This window comes from Homo sapiens, chromosome Y (assembly GCF_000001405.40).
Source record: "Homo sapiens chromosome Y, GRCh38.p14 Primary Assembly".
NCBI lineage: Eukaryota > Metazoa > Chordata > Mammalia > Primates > Hominidae > Homo > Homo sapiens.
Genome location: NC_000024.10, coordinates 553,546 through 577,199, shown reverse-complemented (window position 1 = coordinate 577,199; position 23,654 = coordinate 553,546). Strand labels below are relative to the sequence as shown.

Here is a 23,654-nt window from a genome sequence, read left to right as displayed (position 1 = left end):
GCAATAAGACTGACCATTCTTCAACCTCAGTTTCTCCATCTCTGAAGTGGGGATATGAAGTACCTCGAAGAGATAGTTCACAATGGATGACACAGCAAAAAGATCCTCACCAGACATAGCACCTCAACCTCAGACTTTCCAGCCCTCGGAACCATGAGACCAATGAACTCCCATTGTTTATAAATTACCTAATCAGTGGCACTCTTTTATAGAAGTACAAAATAAACTAAGATGAAGTCTGTCATCATTTTCGTTACAGCAGCCAGTGGAAGCTAATACCCTTTCTAATACCCTGCCTCTTCTGGGTGTCCATGAGTAACACAGGAAACATCTCATTTGTAATCAACACCTGCTCAATGTCAAGTTTGTTCAAAAGGGCTAACTCACTCAAGTATTACAATAAACCCAAGAGAGCCTCTACCTCCCCAGTTCCTCTTCATTCTTCTCCACTCTCTGCTTCAGGAGGCTGGAAAGTGTGGACTGTCTCAACAGCAACCATGAGCTCTGGTTTTCATTTGAGTTGTTGGGTTCAACATGCAAGAGATTAGAGGTAAGTTCTGAGCCTTCTCCTCAGATTCTGTCTCTGATAAGTCATCTTGCTCAAGTCCCTCCAGGACTTCCTCCCAGGCTGTTACACTGCTCAGTTTCTGCACAAACTCAGGGCTTGCACTGAGTCCTATGCCCATCTTTGAGCCAATTATGGTGCCAGGATGTTCACCTGCAGGAAACTGGTTGCTTAAACTGGAGGAGAGATAAAGGTTGTGCAGGTAGAGACAAACAATGGTCAGTGTAGGGTCCAAAGGAAGCAGCTGTCCTTACTCCTCACTGGCTAGAGCTATCCAGAGAATGTTCCAGAAGACACACATTTGGTTAAAGCACATTTATCTCCAGGCACATGTTTTCCATCAGGACCTTCAAAACCAATGTGAAAATATGCTTGGAAATCTGGCTTCACAAGAAAAACAGCAAATAAACACCAGAGGAGAATCTCAGACAGGACTTGTAAATCAGGAGGAAGACAGAGGTTTCAAGGAATGGAAGCCACATCCTGCTTTTCCTATGCTGGTGACATAGACTCCGTCTCCGAGCCTTTTCTTCAATCAGATGATTGATACGTAGACAGATGTACTGAGATAGATAGATATACAGATGTATAGATAGATACATGATAGATGATTGATACTTACAGATGTACTGATATAGATAGATGATTGATACATTGACAGATGTACTGATTGAGAGATAGATGATTGATACATAGATGTATTGATAGATAGATGGTAGATAGATGATAGATGATAGATAGATAGATAATAGATAGAGGAATAGATGACTGATATAGAGATGATATAGATAGATATATAGACAGAGCTAGAGAGATGATAGATGTAGGTAGGTAGATGATAGTCAGATGATGTTTGGATAGATAGAATACAGATAGCTTTAGGTAGTAGATAGATAGGGTAGATGGAAGATTGAAAGAGAGATGACAGAATATAAATAGATGACAGACGGATGATGGATAAATAAATAGATGGATAGATAGAGAAATAGATATAAAGAATGGATAGATGAATGGATAGATTGATAGATGAGTAGGTGAATGGAGAGATGATAGATGGATAGATGGAGAATGCATAGATGGATAGAGACATACACAATGATGCATCTATCAAACCAACGCCTGTTAGGTTTTCTGGTAAGGAGACCCGGTTGCTATCTGGAGTTGATGACACTCTTTGTGACCACCACCTTACCAGCATTTGTTAGTGCTATCTTTGGGAGCAGGTTTGGAGTCAGCCCAACTCCCCCCGTTACTACTGGTGCTGAGGAATGAGACTGACTCTTCTTCATCTTTAAAATGGGGAGATGATGTATCTGAAAGAGCCACAGTGAGCATTACATGGCCAGCCTCTCCATGGCAAGGGAGAGAGGCGCTTCCAGATGAGAGCAGAGCAAGAAGGCATCACTCTTACACTTTCTTGGGCCCGAATGGGTCATTGCCACCGGACAGATTCCTGGAGGTGTCCTTAAAATGCTTTACCTCTGCATCTGAGCACACAGGTGTAAGCCAGGAGTGTGCTGAAGAAAAGAACAAGCCCTGAGGTGGGGCATGAATGGTGCATCTGTTTGCAGGTGATCCAGATGGACTGGGATAACTTGACTGTTGGGTATTCACCTGAGAAAAGAACCACGCCCTGTACACCAGGCATCCGTGGCAACAGGCGTCGGTGGCAACCAGCTGTGAACACAGGAAATGCCTTTGACCCACCACCCCTGGGATCCAACTGAATCTTTTCACATCCTTCCAACCACCCACCTGCCTTCAGGAATCTCCCAGTGCCCACAGTCCCCTTGAGTCTGCAAACCAGGCTGTTACAGATTCTGAAGAATCCGCACACAGGTGTTCCCAGCTAGCCCCCGTCACCTTTCTGATTCTGCCACCGTTCTCCCAACATGGTGAGACCCCATGAATGTATGAAGCCTGTGCTTTGGGGAAAGATTTCTGAGACATTTTGTTTCCTGTGGAGACCAAAGGAAGCCACCTGGCTCTCACAGCAGAAAATTAGGCAGCAGGAGCTGAGGCATTTTGCAGAATGTGCCAGGGCTGTCAGCAAAGTGACAGACACATGTCACTCTCTGTCGGCACTGGCTTGTCACTCATCTGGGCTGTGACATGACACGGTGGATCATCTATTAACTGCCGCAGACCCTTAAAGACGCGAGGATTCATTTGCCTGTTGGTGAACGTGCAAAATTCCCGCGCGTGTTAGCAAGATCCGCAGGTGCACCTGGTTCCACGCAGGTAGACCTCAGACACCCCATTCTGCACATCCTCAGCAAAGGGGCTCATGCATGACAGCCCCAAATGGGATCTTATCTTGCTCCAACAGCCAATGAGAACGTCAAAGGAAATCCTCAACACGAAAACGTATGATGAGGTGTATAAAGAGTTAAACAAATTTATGAATAAAAATCCCACATGCCAAAAAAAGAGCTTATCTGGAATTCTGATGTATGGACTCTCTGGCATTCATTTTTATGTCATATTAAGATTTTTTATACAAACTCTTAGTGCTTGTTTTTCTTTTAAGAAGCAAGTCAAATAGTTTAGTTTTTTTAAAGAAACAAGTCAAGTATTAGCTTTGAAATTCTGAGAGCTGTCAGAATAAATTATTACTTAATAAATATTTTCATATTAATTGTAAAAATATAAAATTATTATATTTAATATAATAAATTTAATTTTAAATTATTAAAATTAAATAATTATAATAAATTATTTTAATAAATATTTTATATATTAATTATAAACATATAAAATCTTTAAAATACAATTATAATATATTTTCTAATATTTTAATATATGTGTTATATATTTATATTTTAACATATTTATTTTATTATATATTTATATTTATAATATATTTAATATATTTATTATAATATATTTATAAAATTATAAATATATTTAACATATTTGTTAATATATTATAAAATTAAAATATTTTTGTAATATTTTCAAAATATTAAAAATACAATTAATATTTTCAAAATTATTTATTAAAAATACAATAAGTATTTTTATATTAATTATAGAAATAAAAATTTTATGTCATATTAAAATTTTTATACAAACTTAGCACTTAATTTTTTAAAAAGTCAAATATTAGCTTTGAAATTCTGAGCGCTTTTAGAATAAATTATTATTTAATAAATATTTTATATTAATTATAAAAATATGAAGTTATTACATTTAATATAATAAATATAAATTTAAATTATGAAAATTTAAATTATTTTAATAAATTATTTTATACCAATATTTTATATATTAATTATAAATATATAAAATATGTATTTCTATAAATAAATAATATGTATTTTATATTTAAAAACATCTTTATTAAATATTTTAGTATATATTATATATTATATTTATTAGCTATATATTATGATATATAATATGTTATATGATATTATAATATATTTATTAGATATATTATAAAATTATAAATATATAATTTTATATATTTTATAAAATAGAAATATGTTTATTAATATATTTATAAAAACTATAAATATATTTATAAAATTAAAATAATTTTATATTTTAAAAATTATAAATATATAATTTTATATATTTTATAAAAATACAAATACGTTTAATATATTTATAAAATTAAAATAATTTCATAATATTTTTAAACTATTTAAAATATAATAAATATTTTTATATTCATTATAAAAATATAAAATTATATTTAATATAATAAACATAAATTTAAATTGTTAAAACGTAAACAACATTCATAAATCATGTTTCTTGCCTCCACTGAACCAAACGGCATCCGTTGCCCATTGTCTTGAGGACATGTGGTTGTATGGAGTGAAGTAGTCGGACGTCAGGAGGGTGGAATTAAAGAAGGGGAGGATGGGAGGCCCTTTCTGATACGAGGTGCAGTCCCATCATGGAACTGTCTGCCCACAGCTTGAGTGTACGTGGAGCCTCCATGACATATTTTTCAATGACCGTGGACCACAGTCCCGGGTAGACCAATCAGGAGCCGATTTGTAGACGGACAACCCTAGGGTGTCAGTCCTGACAGGCTGGGTTCTGTCCACCCTTGATGTCTGTCCAGCCACAGTCCTCTGAGCTCATGTATCTGCGGCTTGTCATTGCTAGTCAAATTCAAATACTTTCCCTTCCCTCATTTTCCTGGGTGTGTTTTGGGTGCCCAAGTTTCTTTTTCTGCATGATTGTAATCATTTTCATTCTTCTCAACGGTGTCTTCCCCATGCCTGAATGCAAGCTCTCATTGGATACCATCCTGGGTTCTGTAAACTATTGAAATAAAAGAGCATAAAAGCTGTTTCCAGTTTCCACTTTTTGTTTTGTTTTGTTTTGAGACAGAGTTTGTCATCATCCAGGCTGGAGTGCAGTGGCACAATCTCAGCTCACTGCAACCTCCGCCTCCCAGGATTCAAGCAATTCTCCTGCCTCAGCCTCCCGAGTAGCTGGGATGACAGGAACCCGCCCTAACTCCTGGCTAATTTTCGTATCCTTAGTAGAAAGAGGGTTTCACCATGTTGGCCAGGCTGGTCTCGAACACCTGACCTCAGGCGATCCTCCATCCTCGGCCTCCCAAAGTGCTGGGGTTACAGGCGTGAGCCACCGCGCCCGGCCTAGACTTTCTTAAGAAGACTCAAATATTAATGTATTTTTTTGTCCTGTATTCCATCCTGGGTTTCATCAGGACAAAACTCCCCATTTGAGTATCTTTCTGAACTTATGAGCCCCTAGAATACAACAGGAAGCTCGTGGACACAGCCCAGCTCAGACACAACATTGGTGGACAGTTACAGGGCTGCCCCAGAATGGAGCGTCAACCTCTCCACTTATATTTCGACCTTCTTGATTTCTCGACACATGTAAGATGTCAGGCATGAGGTCGAGAGATTGCCCATCATAACTAACCTGTCTTGGGGGGGTAGGATCCTAGAACCAGCTTTTGTATGCAAAATTAAGTCAGTTTCACTAAAATCAAACAAGAGATGACTGTAACACAGTAACCCACATAATTCAGACGAATAGCTGAATTACCTAGGGGAGGCCAATTTGGTTCCCACTGCTAAATAAATGCACACAAAATTAAGCATTATGATAGTTTATTCTTTCTCTGTTTTTTTGGGTTTCTTCCCCCCCAAGACAGGGTCTTGCTCTGTTCCTCGGGCTCGAGTACAGCGGCATGATCACACCTCACTGATGAAACCACAGGCATTCACCACCATGCTTGCTAATTTTTTTTTTTTTTTAGAGAGAGATAGGGGTCTTGCTGTGTTGCCCAGGCTGGTCTTGAGCTCCTGGACTCAAGTGATCCTCCTGCCTTGATTTTCCAGAGCCAGCTCATTCTCACCGTGTCTTAACAGCAGTTCGCGGCCGGGCACAGTGGCTCATGCCTGTCATCCCAGCACTTTGGGAGGCCAAGAAAGGTGGATCACTTGAGGTCAGGAGTTCAAGACCAGCCTGGCCAACATAGTGAAACCCGGTCTCTACTAAAAATATAAAAACTAGCCGGGCGTGGTGGTGGACGCCTGTCATCCCAGCTACTCGGGAGGCTGAGGCAGGAGAATTGCTTGAACCCAGGATATGGAGGTTGCAGTGAGCTGACACAGTGCCACTGCACTCCAGCCTCGGCAACAGAGTGAGACTCTGTCTCAAAAAACAAACAAACAAAACAAAACAAAACAAAACAGAAAAAAAACAGCCAGGCACAGTGGCTCAAGCCTGTAATCCCAGCACTTTGGGAGGCCAAGGCGGGTGGATGACCTGAGGTCGGGAGTTTGAGACCAGCCTGAACAACATGGAGAAACCCCATCTCTACTAAAAATACAAAAATTAGCCGGGCGTGGTGGTGCATGCCAGTAATCCCAGCTACTCAGGAGGCTGAGGCAGGAGAATCGCTTGAACCCAGGAGGCAGAGGTTGCAGTGAGCCAAGATCACGCCACTGCACTCCAGCCTCTGTGATGGGAGCAAGCCTCCATCTCAAAAAATATATATAGTGTGTATATATATATTTTATGTATACATCGTTTTATATATAATATATAATTATATATTTTTATATAATTATATATTATATCATATATTATATAATACACGATATAATATACTATATATTATATAATACACGATATAATATACTATATATTATATAATACACGATATAATATACTATATATTATATAATACACGATATAATATACTATATATTATATAATACACGATATAATATACTATATATTATATAATACACGATATAATATACTATATATTATATAATACACGATATAATATACTATATATTATATAATACACGATATAATATACTATGTATTATATAATACACGATACAATATACTATGTATTATATAATACACGATACAATATACTATATATTATATAATACACGATACAATATACTATATATTATATAATACACGATACAATATACTATATATTATATAATACACGATACAATATACTATATATTATATAATACACGATACAATATACTATATATTATATAATACATGATATAATATATAATGTGTATTATATAATACATGATATAATATATAATGTGTATTATATAATACATGATATAATATATAATGTGTATTATATTATACATGATATAATATATAATGTGTATTATATTATACATGATATAATATATTATATTATACATGATATAATATATTATATTATTACATGATATATTATATTATACATGATATAATATAATATATTATACATGATATATTATACATGATATAATACATTATATCATATATTATATTATACAATAGATATTATATATTATATTTTATATATGATATATGTAATTGATATATATGATATAGATGATAATATATGATATTATATATTATATAATATATTTGATAATATAAAATATGCTATATATTATATTTTATAATATATTTTGTAAGCATATATAATATATAATTATATATTATATTATATATCATATAATATATTATATATTTGATAACATAATATACTATATATTATATTTTATAAGCATGTATAATATATAATTATATATTATATATTATATATAATATTTTATATTATAAAAGATATAGTTATATAATATATTATAATTATATGTTATATATAATATATATTTTATATAAAAGATATATTATATGTAATTATATATTTTATATAATATATGTAATTATATATTATATAAAATATATGTAATTATATATTTATATAAAATATATGTAATTATATATTTTATATAAAATATATATTGTATGTAATTATATATTATCTATAATATATAATTATCATATATTATCTATAATATATAATTATCATATATTATCTATAATATATAATTATCATATATTATCTATAATATATAATTATTTTCATATATTATCTATAATATATAATTATCATATATTATCTATAATATAATTATTATATATTATCTATAATATGTAATTATTATATATTATCTATAATATAATTATTATATATTATCTATAATATGTAATTATTATATATTATCTATAATATTTATAATTATTATATATTATCTATAATATGTAATTATTATATATTATCTATAATATGTAATTATTGTATATTATCTATAATATGTAATTATTATATATTATCTATAATATTTATAATTATTATATATTATCTATAATATGTAATTATATATTATCTATAATATTTATAATTATTACATATTATCTATAATATGTAATTATTATATATTAGCTATAATATGTAATTATTGTATATTATCTATAATATGTAATTATTATATATTAGCTATAATATGTAATTATTGTATATTATCTATAATATGTAATTATTATATATTATCTATAATATTTATAATTATTATATATTATCTATATTTATAATTATTATATATTATCTATAATATATAATTTATTATATATTATGTAATTTTATATAGTTATATATAATTATATTATCTATAAAATATATATTATATATTTTTTATATCTGTATATGGCTGTGTAAAACACAATGTTAGCAGCACTATAGGGAGTGCAGGCAGCTGAGAGAGTCTTATGAGGCAGCAGAGACAAGACTGTCTCATTGCACATGGTAAGTATTCAATACATTGCAGTACTATCATCACAAGTAGCATTTCCTACACTGTTTCCCCTGTTAATTTCCTAACAGGAATGACTAGTAACACATGCCATTATTTGTCCTTTCTATGGCTGTTCTCTGCCTTTTCCTTTCTATAATAAATTTTTACAAGTTAAAAAGAAAAGAGCGTGTCATTGCTCAATTGCTTATAATAGCAAAAACATTGCAAAGTGTGATCGTGGCAAGTGGTTGCAGGATGTAAGGCAATTATCTCCTTATGTGGGATGGGAAATTGGAACCACAGATTGGAGGGAAAGTCAGTGCTGTCCACGACAATTAAGTGCAGGTTTTCTTCTGACCAGGCAATCCCACTTCTAAGTGTCTACCCTGGAGAAACTCTCATACTCAGGCACGACGTAGCATGGGGAAGCATGCTTGTTGCAGCAATGACTCTGATAGCAGAAAAACGGGCAGACTCTAATTGTTCGCCCAACGGGGGACTTGATGGATCCATACTGTGGATCACATCGAACAGATAAAATGAGAAAGTGGACCTCTGTGTGCTGGTGGGGAATATCTCCAACACAGGTTGTTGAGTGAGAAAAGTAACTTGGGGAATCTACAAGCAACAATACAACGTGACTCTATGAATGTTTTCACAAGTCACACACATGCAACAACAGGTCCAAATGTGTCTAAATGTGTGGAAAATGTTCTGGAAGGGTATTAAGTGACAATGGCAGTTATCTCGGGGGAGTGGATAAGAAATGAGTCTTCCTGGGACTGTAAACTAGTTCAACCATTGCGGAAGTCAGTGTGGCGATTCCTCAGGGATCTAGAACTAGAAATACCATTTGACCCAGCCATCCCATTACTGGATATATACCCAAAGGAGTATAAATCATGCTGCTATAAAGACACATGCACACGTATGTTTATTGAGGCACTATTCACAATAGCAAAGACTTGGAACCAACCCGAATGTCCAACAATGATAAACTGGATAAAGAAAATGTGGCACATATACACCATGGAATACTATGCAGCCATAAAAAATGATGATTTTATGTCCTTTGTAGGGAAATGGATGAAGCTGGAAACCATCATTCTCAGCAAACTATCACAAGGACTAAAAACCAAACACCGCATTTTCTCACTCATAGGTGGGAAATGAACAATGAGAACACATGGACACAGCGTGGGGAACATCACACACCAGGGCCTGTTGTGGGGTGTGGGGATGGGGGAGGGATAGCATTAGGAGAGATACCTAATGTTAAATGATGAGTTAATGGGTGCAGCACACCAACATGGCACATGTATACATATGTAACGAACCTGCACGTTGTGCACATGTACCCTAAAACTTAAAGTATAATAATAAAAAAAAAGACATGAGTCTTCTTTAGGAGGACTCTGCCTTTATTCAGAGTGTGTCTATGTTGTTCCCAAAGCACATTTCTAAAATAATTTCCTGAATATCTGCAAACCAATATATTGTCTTGGAAGACGACGAGGCAAAGGCAAAGTAAACAGGAACACATAGAGTAAAAATCATGTCTGGACTTATCTACTCATCTATCTCTCGTTCATCCACATACCCATCCACCTGTTCATTCATCCATTCACCTATGCATCCACCTATTCATTCATACAACCATCCACCCACCTACTTATCCATTCATCCATCTTTCCATTCACAAACACATCCGTCCATCCATACATCCATTTACTAATCGACCCATCCACTTATCTGTCCACCCATTCATCCATCCACTCATTTATCCACCCAGCCATCCACTCATTCACCTACCCACCTATCCATCCATCCACCTACCCACCCATCCATCCATCCACCCATCCATCCATGCATCCACCCATCTGTCCATCCATCTATCCACCCATTAACTCATCCATCATCCATCCATTTATCCATCCACCATCCATCCATCTACTCATATACCCATCCATCCATCCATGCATCCACCCACCCATCCATCTATCCAATCATTCATCATTCATCCATCTATCTACTCATACACCCATCCATCCACTCATCTAACCTTTCATCCACTCATCCACCTGCCCATTGATCCACTCATCCACCCATCCATCCACTCATTCACCCATTCATCCATCCACCCATCCACTCATTCATTATCCATCCATCATCCCATCCATCATCAATCCATTCCTCTACCCCTACACCCATCTATACACCTATCCACTCATCCATCTATCTGCCCATTGATCCACCCATCCACCCATCTATCATGTATCCATCTATCCACTCATCAATCTATCTACCACCCATCCATCCACCCATTCCCATTTATCATCTATCCACCCACCCATCTACCCATTCACTCATCCATCATCCATCATCCATTAATTCACCCATCCATCCACCCATCCAGCTATCCATCCACCCATCCATCCATCCATACACCCATCCACCCATCCATCCATCCAGTCATCTGCTTATCCATCATACATCCATCTACCCATCCAGCCATCTATACAACCATTAATCCACCCATCCATCCATCCACTCATCCAGCTATCCATCTATCCATCCATGCATACACCCATCCACCCATCATTCCATCCATCCACGCATCTGCTCATCCATCATGCATCCATCTATCCATCCAACCATCTATACAACCATTAATCTACCCACTCACTCATCCATCTGTCCACTCTTCCATCCATCCATCCACCCATCCATTCATCCGTCTATTCATCTACTCATCCATCATGCATCCATCTACCCATCCAGCCATCTATACAATCATTAATCCACCCACTCACCCATCCGTCTGTCCACACTTCCATCCATCTATCCATCCATCCATCCCTCCATCCATTCATCCATCCATTCATCCATCCACTCATCTGCTCATCCATCTGTCCATCTAGCCATCTATACAACCTTTAGTCCACCCACTCACCCATCCATCTGTCCACTCTTCCATCCACCCACCCACCCATCCATCCATTCACCCATTCATTCATCCATCCACTCATCTGCTTATCCATCATGCATCCGTCAGCCCATCCAGCCATCTATGTAACCATTAATCCACCCACTCACCCATCCATCTGTCCACTCTTCCATCCACCCATCCACTCATCCATTCATCCATCCATTCATCTGCTCATCCGTCTATCCATCCAACCATCTATCCATCTATACAACAATTAATCCACCCACTCACCCATCCATCATCCATCCATTTGTCCACTCTTCCATCCATCCATTCACTCATCCATCCACCCACCTACCTATCCTGTTTCATAGACGGCGACTTCTTGGTGTGTCCTCACACGGTGGAAGGGACAAGTGAGCTCTCTAGGATCCCTTTTATAAGGGCACTAATCCCATTCAGAAGGCTCCGCTCTCATGACCTCATCACCCCCCAAAGGCCCCACTTCTTAACGTCATCATCTTGGGGATGAAGAGTTCAACATAAGAATTTGGGAAAGAGCCCTACATTCAGACCACAATGGGGGCAGCTCCTACTCACCTGAGAGAGCAATATTAGGGATCCCATTGCATAGCAATTTTTTAGGGCCCTGTAGTCTTCATGGGTACAGTACTTCCTCATTGTGGACAGACTCTGTATTTGCAAATTTGCTTATTCACCAAAATTTATTGGTAATCTCAAAGTTAATACAAATTATGCCTTTGCTGTCTTCTCTGGACATGAGAAGAGTGGAGAAAAATTTGAGTCCGAGGCCGAGCGTGGTGACTCACGCCTGTAATCCCAGCACTTTGGGAGGCTGAGGTGGGCAGATCACGAGGTCAGGAGATCGAGACCACCCTGGTTAACAGGGTGAAACCCTGTCTCTTCTAAAAATACAAAAAATTAGCTGGGCATGGTGGCAGGCGCCTGTAAACCCAGCTACTCAGGAGGCTGAGGCAGGAGAATGTCATGAACCTGGGAGGCGGAGGTTGCAGTGAGCAGAGATTGTGCCACTGCACTCCAGCCTGGGTGACAGAGCAAGACTCTGCCTCAAAAATAATAATAATAATAATTTGAGTCGGAATTCTGCCCCATGGGGGACACTGTGCAATGACTGAAGACATTTCTGGTTATCACGACCAGGGAGGAGGTGACAGATACTACTAGCTTCTAGTGGGTAGAGCTCAGGGACGCTGCTGAGTATCCTACAGTATATAGGACAGCTCCCACCACGGAGAATTACCTGGCCCCCAATGTCAACAGTGCCTTAATTGAAAACACGTCATTCCAAGTTGCAGAATCAGTTACAGGAATATTGATTTTCACGAGGGCGTTGGCACAGTGCAGTCACAGACTCTGTATCACCTCATGTCACCGGGCTCTAACAGTCACATACCTAAAGCATCTTTCCTGGCTCATCACGCACGCTTCCTCCTCCCTCTCCTTTCAGTTTGATCCGTGTACATCCAACCCGTTGTAGAAAGAAAATGCCCGGAGAAAGGCTTGCAGGCACCAGTTGAAAGAAGCTTTGTAAAAACCGAGCAGGAATCTGGACAACCGTGAGACGCGATGGTTTATTTATTTGACATGAAAGGCGTCCTTTTGATCAAAACGCTGCCACTTGGCAAAAACCATGGAAGGATCACTGTGGATAAAAATCGCACTTAGCGGGGAAACAATGGTGGGGAGAGGGGAGTTTCAGGAAAGTTAATTTACAAATATACGTTTTGCATCTTTCGCTGAAGATGGAAAGAATGCATGCAGGTAACAAAAAAAAAATTCAATAAAATAGGCCTTGTAGACATTCACCTTCTGATGAATGCAGAATAAGACTTTACATTCTCGGGAAGTGTGTCCGTTATGTGGCATCTTGTTTAAAAGAGAGATTATGTTTCAGTAGGGTTGGAATAGGATTTAGGAATCTGCTTTTTTTGTTTTTTACATTTTCAAAAAAATTACATTTTAAATTATCATACTATAAAATTGATTTTCATGATATGCAGTTCGATGAACTTGAACACATTTTTGAAACATGTAAATGGCATCATGTTCGAGATACAGAATAGTTCTATCGCCTCCCCCAATTTTTCTCATTCTGTTTCTTTATAGTCACACGCACGTGCAGGCACACCAACGTCTAAGGGAATCTGCATTTTAAACACGAACCCTCGGTCGGGCGCGGTGGCTCATGCCTGTAATCCCAGCAATTTGGGAGGCCGAGGTGGGTGGATCACCTAAGGTCAGGAGTTTGAGACCAGCCTGGCCAACGTGGTGAAACCCCGTCTCTACTAAAAACACAAAAATTAGCCAGGCATGGTGGTGAGTTCCTGTAATCCCAGCTACTTGGGAGGCTGAAGCAGGAGAATTGCTTGAACCTGGGAGGTGGAAGTTGCATGAGCCGAGATCGCGCCACTGCACCCCAGCCTGCGGTGACAGAGTGAGACTCTGTCTCAAACAAACAAACAAACAAACACCCTCACATCATCCCTACTTGGTAAACCAATGGTGTAGTAAAGCTATCTTCATCCTCAGAAAGCTTCAAGACTGAACCAGGCTGAAGGGTTTATTGGCTAATGTGACTCTTGTCAAACCATTTATTTCTGAACATCACTTTGCAAAACAGGGATAATATCTATCTTTCAAAACAGGCATGAAGAAAAAGAAATAAGATAAGCAAAGGCTGGCATACAATAGGTGTTCATTAATAATGTCTATTATAATGTTTTTAGAAGTCAGAGTTTTAAACATAGAGTTTCAGATAGATAGGAAGACAAGTAGATAGACAGATAATAGATAGATAAGATAATAGATAGATAGATAGATAGATAGATAGATAGATAGATAGATAGAGAATATGGTTGATAGATAAGCTGATTGGTAGGTAGAGAGACAGGTAGATACAGAATACGATAGAGAAGATGATAGATAGGTAGATAGATAGATAGATAGATAGATAGATAATATGGTTGATAGATAAGCCGATTGGTAGGTAGAGAGACAGGTAGATACAGAATATGATAGAGAAGATGATAGATAGATAGGTAGATATAGATAGATAGATAGATAGATAGATAGATAGATAGATAGATAATAGATAATATGGTTGATAGATAAGCTGATTGGTAGGTAGAGAGATAGGTAGATAGAGAATAAGATAGAGAAGATGAGAGAAAATAGATAGATAGATAGATAGATGACAGATGATATATTGATACATGATAGATGATAGATAATATGATAGATAAAGATGATTGATACATAGATGGATAGATAAATAGGTAGACAGATAATATGATGGATAGATAAGATGACTGGTAGATAGATAGGTAGGTATATGATAGACAGGTAGATAGATAGATATAGAGAATATGATACATAGGTAGAAAGATTATTGGTAGGTAGGTAGATAGGTAGATGGATAATAGGTAGATAAGAGAATATGACAGATAAGATGATTGGAAGATAGTTAGCTAGGTAGGTAGATAGATACATAGATGAATAGATAGATAGATAATGTGATAGATAAAGATGATTGGTAGGTAGATGGATGGATGGATAGGTAGACAGAGAATATGGTAGAAAGATGGTTGTTAGGTAGGTAGATAGGTAGGTGGATAATAGGTAGATAGAGAATATGATAGATAAGATGACTGGTAGATAGGTCGGTAGGTAGGTAGATAGACCGAAAGATAGAATGGTAGATAGATAGATGCAGGCTTCTGGTTTTGACCAACATGAAGTAACAGAGATCAGAATTATCTTCCACTGGGCATAATACATGAAATGATGGCGTTCAAGACCCTGGACATGAAGCAATGAAAGACAATGATCTCTGAGAGATGGAAAAGTAATGCAGTGAGCCCTATGATCTCCCGGCTTACTGCCTGAGAGATTTTATAGGCGGCAGTACAAGGAGGCACAACACAGATGGAAACTGGAAGGCCTCTTGTGTTGAGAAGGTGGAGCTGAGAGTCTGGGGAGACCAAGGCAGGAAGAGTTCACAGGACAGAGTAGCAGATATGAGAGATCCACGTGGAGAAAGAAGCATAGAGACCTTCTGCAGAAGGTCCACCTAGAGAGCGTTGGGCTGAGAACTGATTGACATGTGTCTATGAGGAAATTATTCAAGGTGAGGGAAAGAACCAACAGAAATGACACATGGAAACAGGGAATAGTGACCAGCGTTCACACAATGTTCAAAAGGTGCCTGTTCTGACCTTCTAGATTGGAAAACTTCCATAGTTCATGGGGCGTTAGGTAGGATAGTGAGGAGGACCTTTCCTCAGTAGCTTGGACAAATTAATCCCGAATTAAACATTACTCTTCATTCCAACAGAATGAAACCAAGACCTGAAGGGTTCAAACTACCTCCAAGTGACTTCACAGAATCCCAGAACAAAGCTTCCACATAGTCAGAGGAATACGAAACTATTCAGAGCAAGGTAAAATTAAAAGTGGTATCCAGGCCAGGTCAACATGTTGAAACCCTGTGTCTACTAAAAATACAAAATTAGCCGGGCATGGTGGTGCATGCCTGTCATCCCAGCTAGTTGGGAGGCTGAGGCAGGAGAACCGCTTGAACCCGGGAGGCGGAGGTTGCAGTGAGCCGAGATTGCGCCACTGCACTCCAGCCTGGGCAACAAGAGCGAAATTCCATCTCAAAAAAAAAAAATGCAAATGAAAAGACAGCATAGGTCAGGCACGGTGGCTCACGCCTGGAATCTCACTTTGGGAGGCTGAGGTGGGTGGATCAACTGAGGTCAGGAGTTCAAGACCAGCCTGGCCAGCGTGGTGAAACCCCATCTCTACTAAAAATACAAAATCAGGCCGGGTGCGTTGGCTCACGCCTATAATCCCAGCACTTTGGGAGGCCGAGGCGGGTGGATCACCTGAGGTCAGGAGTTCAAGACCAGCCTGGCCAGCATGGTGAAACCCCATCTCTACTAAAACTAGAAAAATTAGCCGGGCTTGGTTGCTGGTGCCTGTAATCCCAGCTACTCAGGAGGCTGAAGCAGGAGAATGGCTTGAACCCGGAGGCGGAGGTTGCAGTGAGTTGACATCATGCCACTGCACTCCAGCCTGGGTAACAAGAGCAAAACTCTGTCTCTAAATAAATAAATAAGAGAGAGAGAGAGATGATAGATTACACAGATTGGCCGTGCACAGTGGCTCACGCGTATAATCCCAGCACTTTGGGAGACCGAGGCAGGTGGACCACCTGATGTCAGGAGTTTGAGACCAGCCTAATCAACATGGTGAAACCCCGTCTCTACTAAAAATACAAAAATTAGCTGGGCGTGGTGGCTGGCGCCTGTAATCCCAGCTACTCAGGAGGCTGAGGCAAGGAGAGTCGCTTGAACCCGGGAGGCGGAGGTTGCAGTGAGCTGACATCATGCCACTGCACTCCAGCCTGGCGACAGAGTGAGAAGTCTGTCTCAAAAATAAATAAATAAATAAGTAAAAATAAGCTCATTTGGGGGCAATATGGCAAGACTGTAGTGTGGCCGGCAGGCGTTTCCAAGGACTGGCCAGGAGCTGGATGAAAGAGGATGACAACCATTAAGATGCAGGGCTGTCTTCTCTGTGCGTTAGCAAGTCTGTAGTAGACAAGGAAGGCTGAGAGGATTTAAAGTGTCTTCTTATCTTCTGGGAGGGGACAAAGACCAGGGAAGGAAATCAGGAGCAATGCTGGCTTTATTTCCCCGTCTTTAAAAATACATATGATCAGCCAGGCACAGTGGCTCACGCCTGTCATCCCAGCACTTTGGGAGTCCGAGGCGGGTGGATCACCTGAGGTCAGAGGTTGGAGACCAGCCTGGCCAACATGGTGAAACCCCATCTCTACTAAAAATATAAAATTAGCTGGGTGTGGTGGCGGGTGCCTGTAATCCCAGCTACTCGAGAGGCTGAGGCAGGAGAGTCGCTTGAACCCGGGAGGCGGAGGTTGCACTGAGCCGAGATGATGCCACTGCACTCCAGCCTGGGTAATAAGAGCGAACTCCGTCTCAAAAAATAAAAATAAAATAAAGTGAAATAAAATAAAATAAAATAAAATAATAAAATAAAATAAAATAAAATAAAATAAAATAAAATAAAATAAAATAAAAAATAGATGTGATCCTTGAAGAATACACACATCAGCTCAACTTCTCAAGATGGATGTGGTAATGATTTTATCTTTGCCGCTCTTAATGAATCCTCTGTGTGTGTGTGTGTGTTTGTGTGTGTGTGACTTTTGTTCGTTTGATGGAAATAAATTTTGCAAGGTTAGGGCTATTGGACTAGGAACATAATTGATGATGATGACATTAAAATTATATCAGGAACGGGATGTCTCTTCAATAAAACTTCATTACTTGGGATCTCATAAATTCAGAATTTACGCAGAAATTTATCTTAGCACAGGCTATTAACCAAAGACTGAGTAAATTAACTGTGTAAAGATTTCAGGAGAGAAGCTGGAATTACTTAAGAAAGCAAGACTTTCCGTAGCTTAGAAGCACTTTTTTTTTTTTTGCATCTGAAAATGTGAGATTAATTGTGATTGTCTATCAAATAATCAGATTTTCCACCCAAGCACTATTCATCAAAACTTTGGAAGTATCCAATATCATACTCATGGAAAGTAAGCGTATTTTTGTAACGTTCTGTAATACCTGCTGTTCAGTCGTGGAGAATGGTGTTATTCATAGTTAATATAAATTAGTGACATTTTTGTTACAGCGCGTTTTATCTGAGTGCAGTGAGTTACTTTATAAAATTCTGTTTTATAGATTCTGCCTATCCCTTACTGCTACTAGTTGATGTTTTTTGCTGAGGGCCTCTTTCAGGACTGACTTCTAGTTCTGGCCTGCTGATGTCTGCTTTTTTTTATTTTTTTATTTTTTAGACAGAGTTTCGTACTCGTTGCCCAGGCTGGACCGCAATGGCGTGATCTCGCCTCACTGCAACCTCCGTCTGCCAGGTTCAAGCGACTCTCCTGCCTCAGCCTCCAGAGTAGCTGGGATTACAGGCACGAGCCACCACATCCTTCTAATTGTCTGCATTTTTAGTAGAGACGGGGTTTTGCCATGTGGTCCAGGCTGGAATTATTTTAACATGCTATGCTGTTTACGAATGGACTTCTAGTTCTGGCCTGCTGATGTCTGTTTTTTGTGGGTTTTTTTTTTTTTTTTTTTAAGAGGGAGTTTCGCCCTTATTTCTCAGGCTGGACTGCAATTGTGCGATCTCACCTCACTGCAACCTCCATCTCCCAGGTTCAAGCAACTCTCCTGCCCCAGCCTCCTGAGTAGCTGGGATTACAGGCGCCCGCCACCACGCCTGGCTAATTTTTGTATTTTTAGTAGAGATGCAGTTCCTCCATGTTGATTAGGCTGGTCTCCAACTCCTGACCTCAGGTGATCCACCCGCCTCGGCCTCCCAAAGTGCTGGGATGACAGGCGTGAGCCACCACGCCGGGCTAATTTTGTATTTTTAGTAGAGACAGGGTTTCACCATCTTGGCCAGGCTGGTCTTGAACTCCTGACCTTGTGATCCGCCTGCCTCAGCCTCCCAAAGTGCTGGGATTATAGGCTTGAGCCACCGCGCCCGGCCTCGACGTTAGGTTGTCAATACATGAGTCTTGTGAGGCGGGGGGCAGAATTCAGCCCATTGACTGTCCGTGAGTGTCTTCAAATGGAAACATTTTCATCCACACCTTCGTCCATACAGCAAACACCCTCGATCACCCCCACAAAGAGGGTGGCCTCCCATGACTGAGATTCTGCAAAATTTAAAACAATAGAAGGCGGCCGGGCGCGGTGGCTAACGCCTGGCATCCCAGCACTTTGGGAGGCCGAGGCTGGTGGATCATGAGGTCAGGAGATCGAGACCATCCCGGCTAACACGGTGAAACCCTGTCTCTACTAAAAATACAAACAATTAGCCGGGCGAGGTGGCGGGTGCCTGTAGTCCCAGCTACTCGGGATGCTGAGGCAGGAGAATGGTGTGAACCCCAGAGGCGGAGCTTGCAGTGAGCCGAGATGGTGCCACTGCACTCCGGCCTGGGCGACACAGCGAGACTCCGTCTTAAAAAAAACAACAAAAGGCAATCGTCTAATCTTTGAATCAGAGTTGGCCTAGGGTTCTGCTTCCCTAAAATTCAAACTCCTTCTGGATAAGCCACCCACAGAAGTCATTTTAAAACATCATCTGGGGCCGGGCATGGTGTCTCGTGCCCACCATCCCAACACTTTGGGAGGCTGAGGTGGGAGGATGGCTCGAGGCCAGGAGTTCAAGACCAGCCTGGGCAACACAGCAAGACCCCCATCTCTAGAAAAAATAAAAACAAAAGGAACAGGCCCAGCATGGTGGCTCATGCCTGTAATCCCAGCACTTTGGGAGGCCGAGGCGGGCGGATGACCTGAGGTCAGGAGATCGAGACCAGCCTGGCCAACACGGTGAAACCCCGTCTCTACTAAAAATACAAACATTAGCCGGGCGTGGTGGCGGGCACCTGTAGTCCCAGCTACTCGGGAGGCTGAGGCAGGAGAATGGCGTGAACCCGAGAGGCGGAGCTTGCAGTGAGCCGAGATCGCGCCACCGCACTCCAGCCTGGGCGACAGAGCGAGACTCCGTCTCAGAAAAAAAAATTAAATAAATAAATAAGTAAATAAGATAATAAATAAATAATCAAATAAATAATAAATCATATATAAATAAATAATAAATAAATAAAACAAAAAACCCAAAATCAGAAAACCAAATTATATATGCTTATAAAATATCGTATAACCAAAAGTAATCCTACACTGAGGTCCAAGCAGCCTCTCCGTGGCCGACGCCAGTTCGCAATCCATTTCTGTGCCATGGAGAGAGACGGTTACCTGTGAATTTCAGACCTCTGCAAACTTCCCCCTCCCCCCACCACCCCAAGAAGCATTTAAAGACAGGTGTGGTCAGGCCTACAGCTGTCCATCTGCAAGGTGCGACATGCAGCCGTGGTGACATTGGACGTCGTGAGGGGGGACATGCACCCTGTCCAGAGATGACTGTCCCCGGGGAAGACGGCTGGCTTTTTCCGGCGAGCCATAAAACAAGCTGAAAATAAAACACAGCAAACAAGACGTAGCTGAGCTCAGATCGGATGACGTGGCCTGTTTCTCTGTGTTGAACGTTGTGATTAAATCTGGTGAGGCTCCCCCCCACTCCAGGGGGAGAGAATTTTTGATTTGGAGGTTAAGCCAACATTAGCAAGAAAACATAAAATAAAGTGAGTGCAATTGCCGTAAGCAACAGAGGCACCCTTGATTCCAGGAATGTTTAGCTACAAAACGAGCATCCGCATAACGGTGTAAATGCAGCTAATGACGTGTGCAGAAGCCCTAGCTGGGCCACTGCCTGTAACTAATAAGAAATCAATTAGCTAATGAAGTGCCGATTACATGCAATGCTAATCTGAGCTGGGGTATTTTGGGTTTTTTCATGTTTCTCTCTTCCCTCCTTCTCTCCTTTATGAGGCTGTTTAATTGTGAGTGCCATACGGAGCGTGCAGTGTACAGCATGGCTAATGAAACATCATTATATGGTCGCTGCATTCTCCGAAGGGCTGAACGAGACCTGCTTGCCAATTATTTTTAATTGCCACGTATATCCTCACAACTGCGTCTTCCACGGCGCGCTTCAGAGGCCCGGCTGTCATGTCACACACACACACACACACACACACACAGAGCCAGCTTCTGTTTTTCTCTGCAGCCTCTGGACGTTCAGCTGTGGTCTCGGCCACGGTGCGTGACAGAGGACAGCGCGGCGAAGCGTAAACAGGGCCTGGGTGAAAATGCTTCTCCCTTCCTTGGATGGAGCCTGGTGTGGGACCTCTCCATAAATCCCCTCTCTCCATACATCCCCTCTCTCCATACATCCCCTCTCCAGAGCAGCCTCTCCATACGTCCCCTCTCCAGAACAGCCTCCCCATATATCCCCTCTCCAGAGCAGCCTCCCCATACGTCCCCTCTCCAGAGCAGCCTCCCCATACGTCCCCTCTCCAGAGCAGCCTCTCCATATGTCCCCTCTCCAGAGCAGCCTCTCCATACATGCCCTCTCCAGAGCAGCCTCTCCATATGTCCCCTCTCCAGAGCAGCCTCCCCATATATCCCCTCTCCAGAGCAGCCTCTCCATATGTCCCCTCTCCAGAGCAGCCTCCCCATACGTCCCCTCTCCAGAGCAGCTTCTCCATACGTCCCCTCTCCATACATCCCCTCTCCAGAGCAGCCTCTCCATATGTCCCCTCTCCAGAGCAGCCTCTCCATACATGCCCTCTCCAGAGCAGCCTCTCCATACGTCCCCTCTCCAGAGCAGCCTCCCCATATATCCCCTCTCCAGAGCAGCCTCTCCATACGTCCCCTCTCCAGAACAGCCTCCCCATATATCCCCTCTCCAGAGCAGCCTCCCCATACGTCCCCTCTCCAGAGCAGCCTCTCCATATGTCCCCTCTCCAGAGCAGCCTCTCCATATGTCCCCTCTCCAGAGCAGCCTCCCCATATATCCCCTCTCCAGAGCAGCCTCCCCATATATCCCCTCTCCAGAGCAGCCTCCCCATATGTCCCCTCTCCAGAGCAGCCTCTCCATATATCCCCTCTCTACAGCACCTTCTCCATACGTCCCCTCTCTAGAGCACCTTCTCCGTATGTCCCTCTCCAGAGCAGCCTCTCCATACATGCCCTCTCCAGAGCAGCCTCTCCATATGTCCCCTCTCCAGAGCAGCCTCCCCATATATCCCCTCTCCAGAGCAGCCTCTCCATATGTCCCCTCTCCAGAGCAGCCTCCCCATACGTCCCCTCTCCAGAGCAGCTTCTCCATACGTCCCCTCTCCATACATCCCCTCTCCAGAGCAGCCTCCCCATATATCCCCTCTCCAGAGCAGCTTCTCCATACGTCCCCTCTCCAGAGCAGACCCAAGCTGGCCAGTCCAAGCGGAGCTGGCTCCGGGGTGGGCGGAGACCTGGCATCCGATACGCGTGGGCTGTTCCCCCAGGGACACACCTGGCCCCCGACATACGTGTTTCCACCCCGGGACTCCAGCCTTTCCAACACGTCGGCACCTTGCATTTATGAAGTGGCTTAGACTGCGTAACTCTGCAAGTGACAAGCTGTCACCCCTGCAAACCGTGCTTCTGACCTGGCTGCGGTCCTCGTCCCTGAAATTGGCAGCCGAAGAGAAGGCAGAGGCTCCTGGTGCCCCGACAGTTTGATACGTTCCCAGGGAGATTATGTATCTGTATCTCGGTTGTGGGAAGCTCACACGGCATGACGGAACTTTCAATCTTCCATCTAAACGGGCTGTGGTTTCCCTGATGTTGACCAATCCGGGTCAGGACTCCTCCTTCTTGCCATCCAACATCTGGAATCTCACCATACAATGGCCCTTGGACATGTGCTTTAAAAAATAATAATAACAGCTTGGCATGGTGGTTCACGCCTGTCACCCTAGCACTTTGGGAGGCCAAGGCGGGAGGATCACCTGAGGTCAGGAGTTCGAGACCAGCCTGACCAACATGGTGAAACCCTGTCTCTACTAAAAATACAAACATTTGCCTGGCCTGGTGGCAGGCACCTGTAATCCCAGCTACTTGGGAGGCTGAGGCAGGAGAATCGATTCAACCTGGGAGGCAGAGGTTGCAGTGAGTTGAGATCACGCCACTGCACTCCAGCCTGAGGTCAGGAGTTCGAGACCAGCCTGACCAACACGGTGAAACGTCTCTACTAAAAATACAAGCATTTGCCTGGCCTGGTGGCGGGTGCCTGTAATCCCAGCTACTTGGGAGGCTGAGGCAGGAGAACCGATTCAACCTGGGAGGCAGAGATTGCGGTGAGTCGACATCATGCCACTGCACTCCAGCCTGAGATCAGGAGTTCGAGACCAGCCTGACCAACATGGTGAAACCCCGTCTCTACTAAAAATTCCAAAATTACCCAGGCATGGTGGCAGGAACCTGTCATCCCAGCTACTTGGGAAGCTGAGGCAGGAGAA

The 23,654-nt window shown here is 41.2% G+C and overlaps 2 annotated features.

The window, feature by feature from the left end:
• Positions 20,706–21,325: an enhancer, noted in NCBI's record as "CNE-2 PCR-amplified reporter construct fragment". NCBI's record gives its function as "enhancer in ovo in chicken limb buds, and in human U2OS osteosarcoma cells" and the evidence as "EXISTENCE:reporter gene assay evidence [ECO:0000049][PMID:19997128, PMID:26631348]".
• Positions 20,969–21,268: a conserved region, noted in NCBI's record as "conserved region; CRCNE00011089 more deeply conserved sub-region". NCBI's record gives the evidence for it as "EXISTENCE:sequence alignment evidence [ECO:0000200][PMID:21731768]".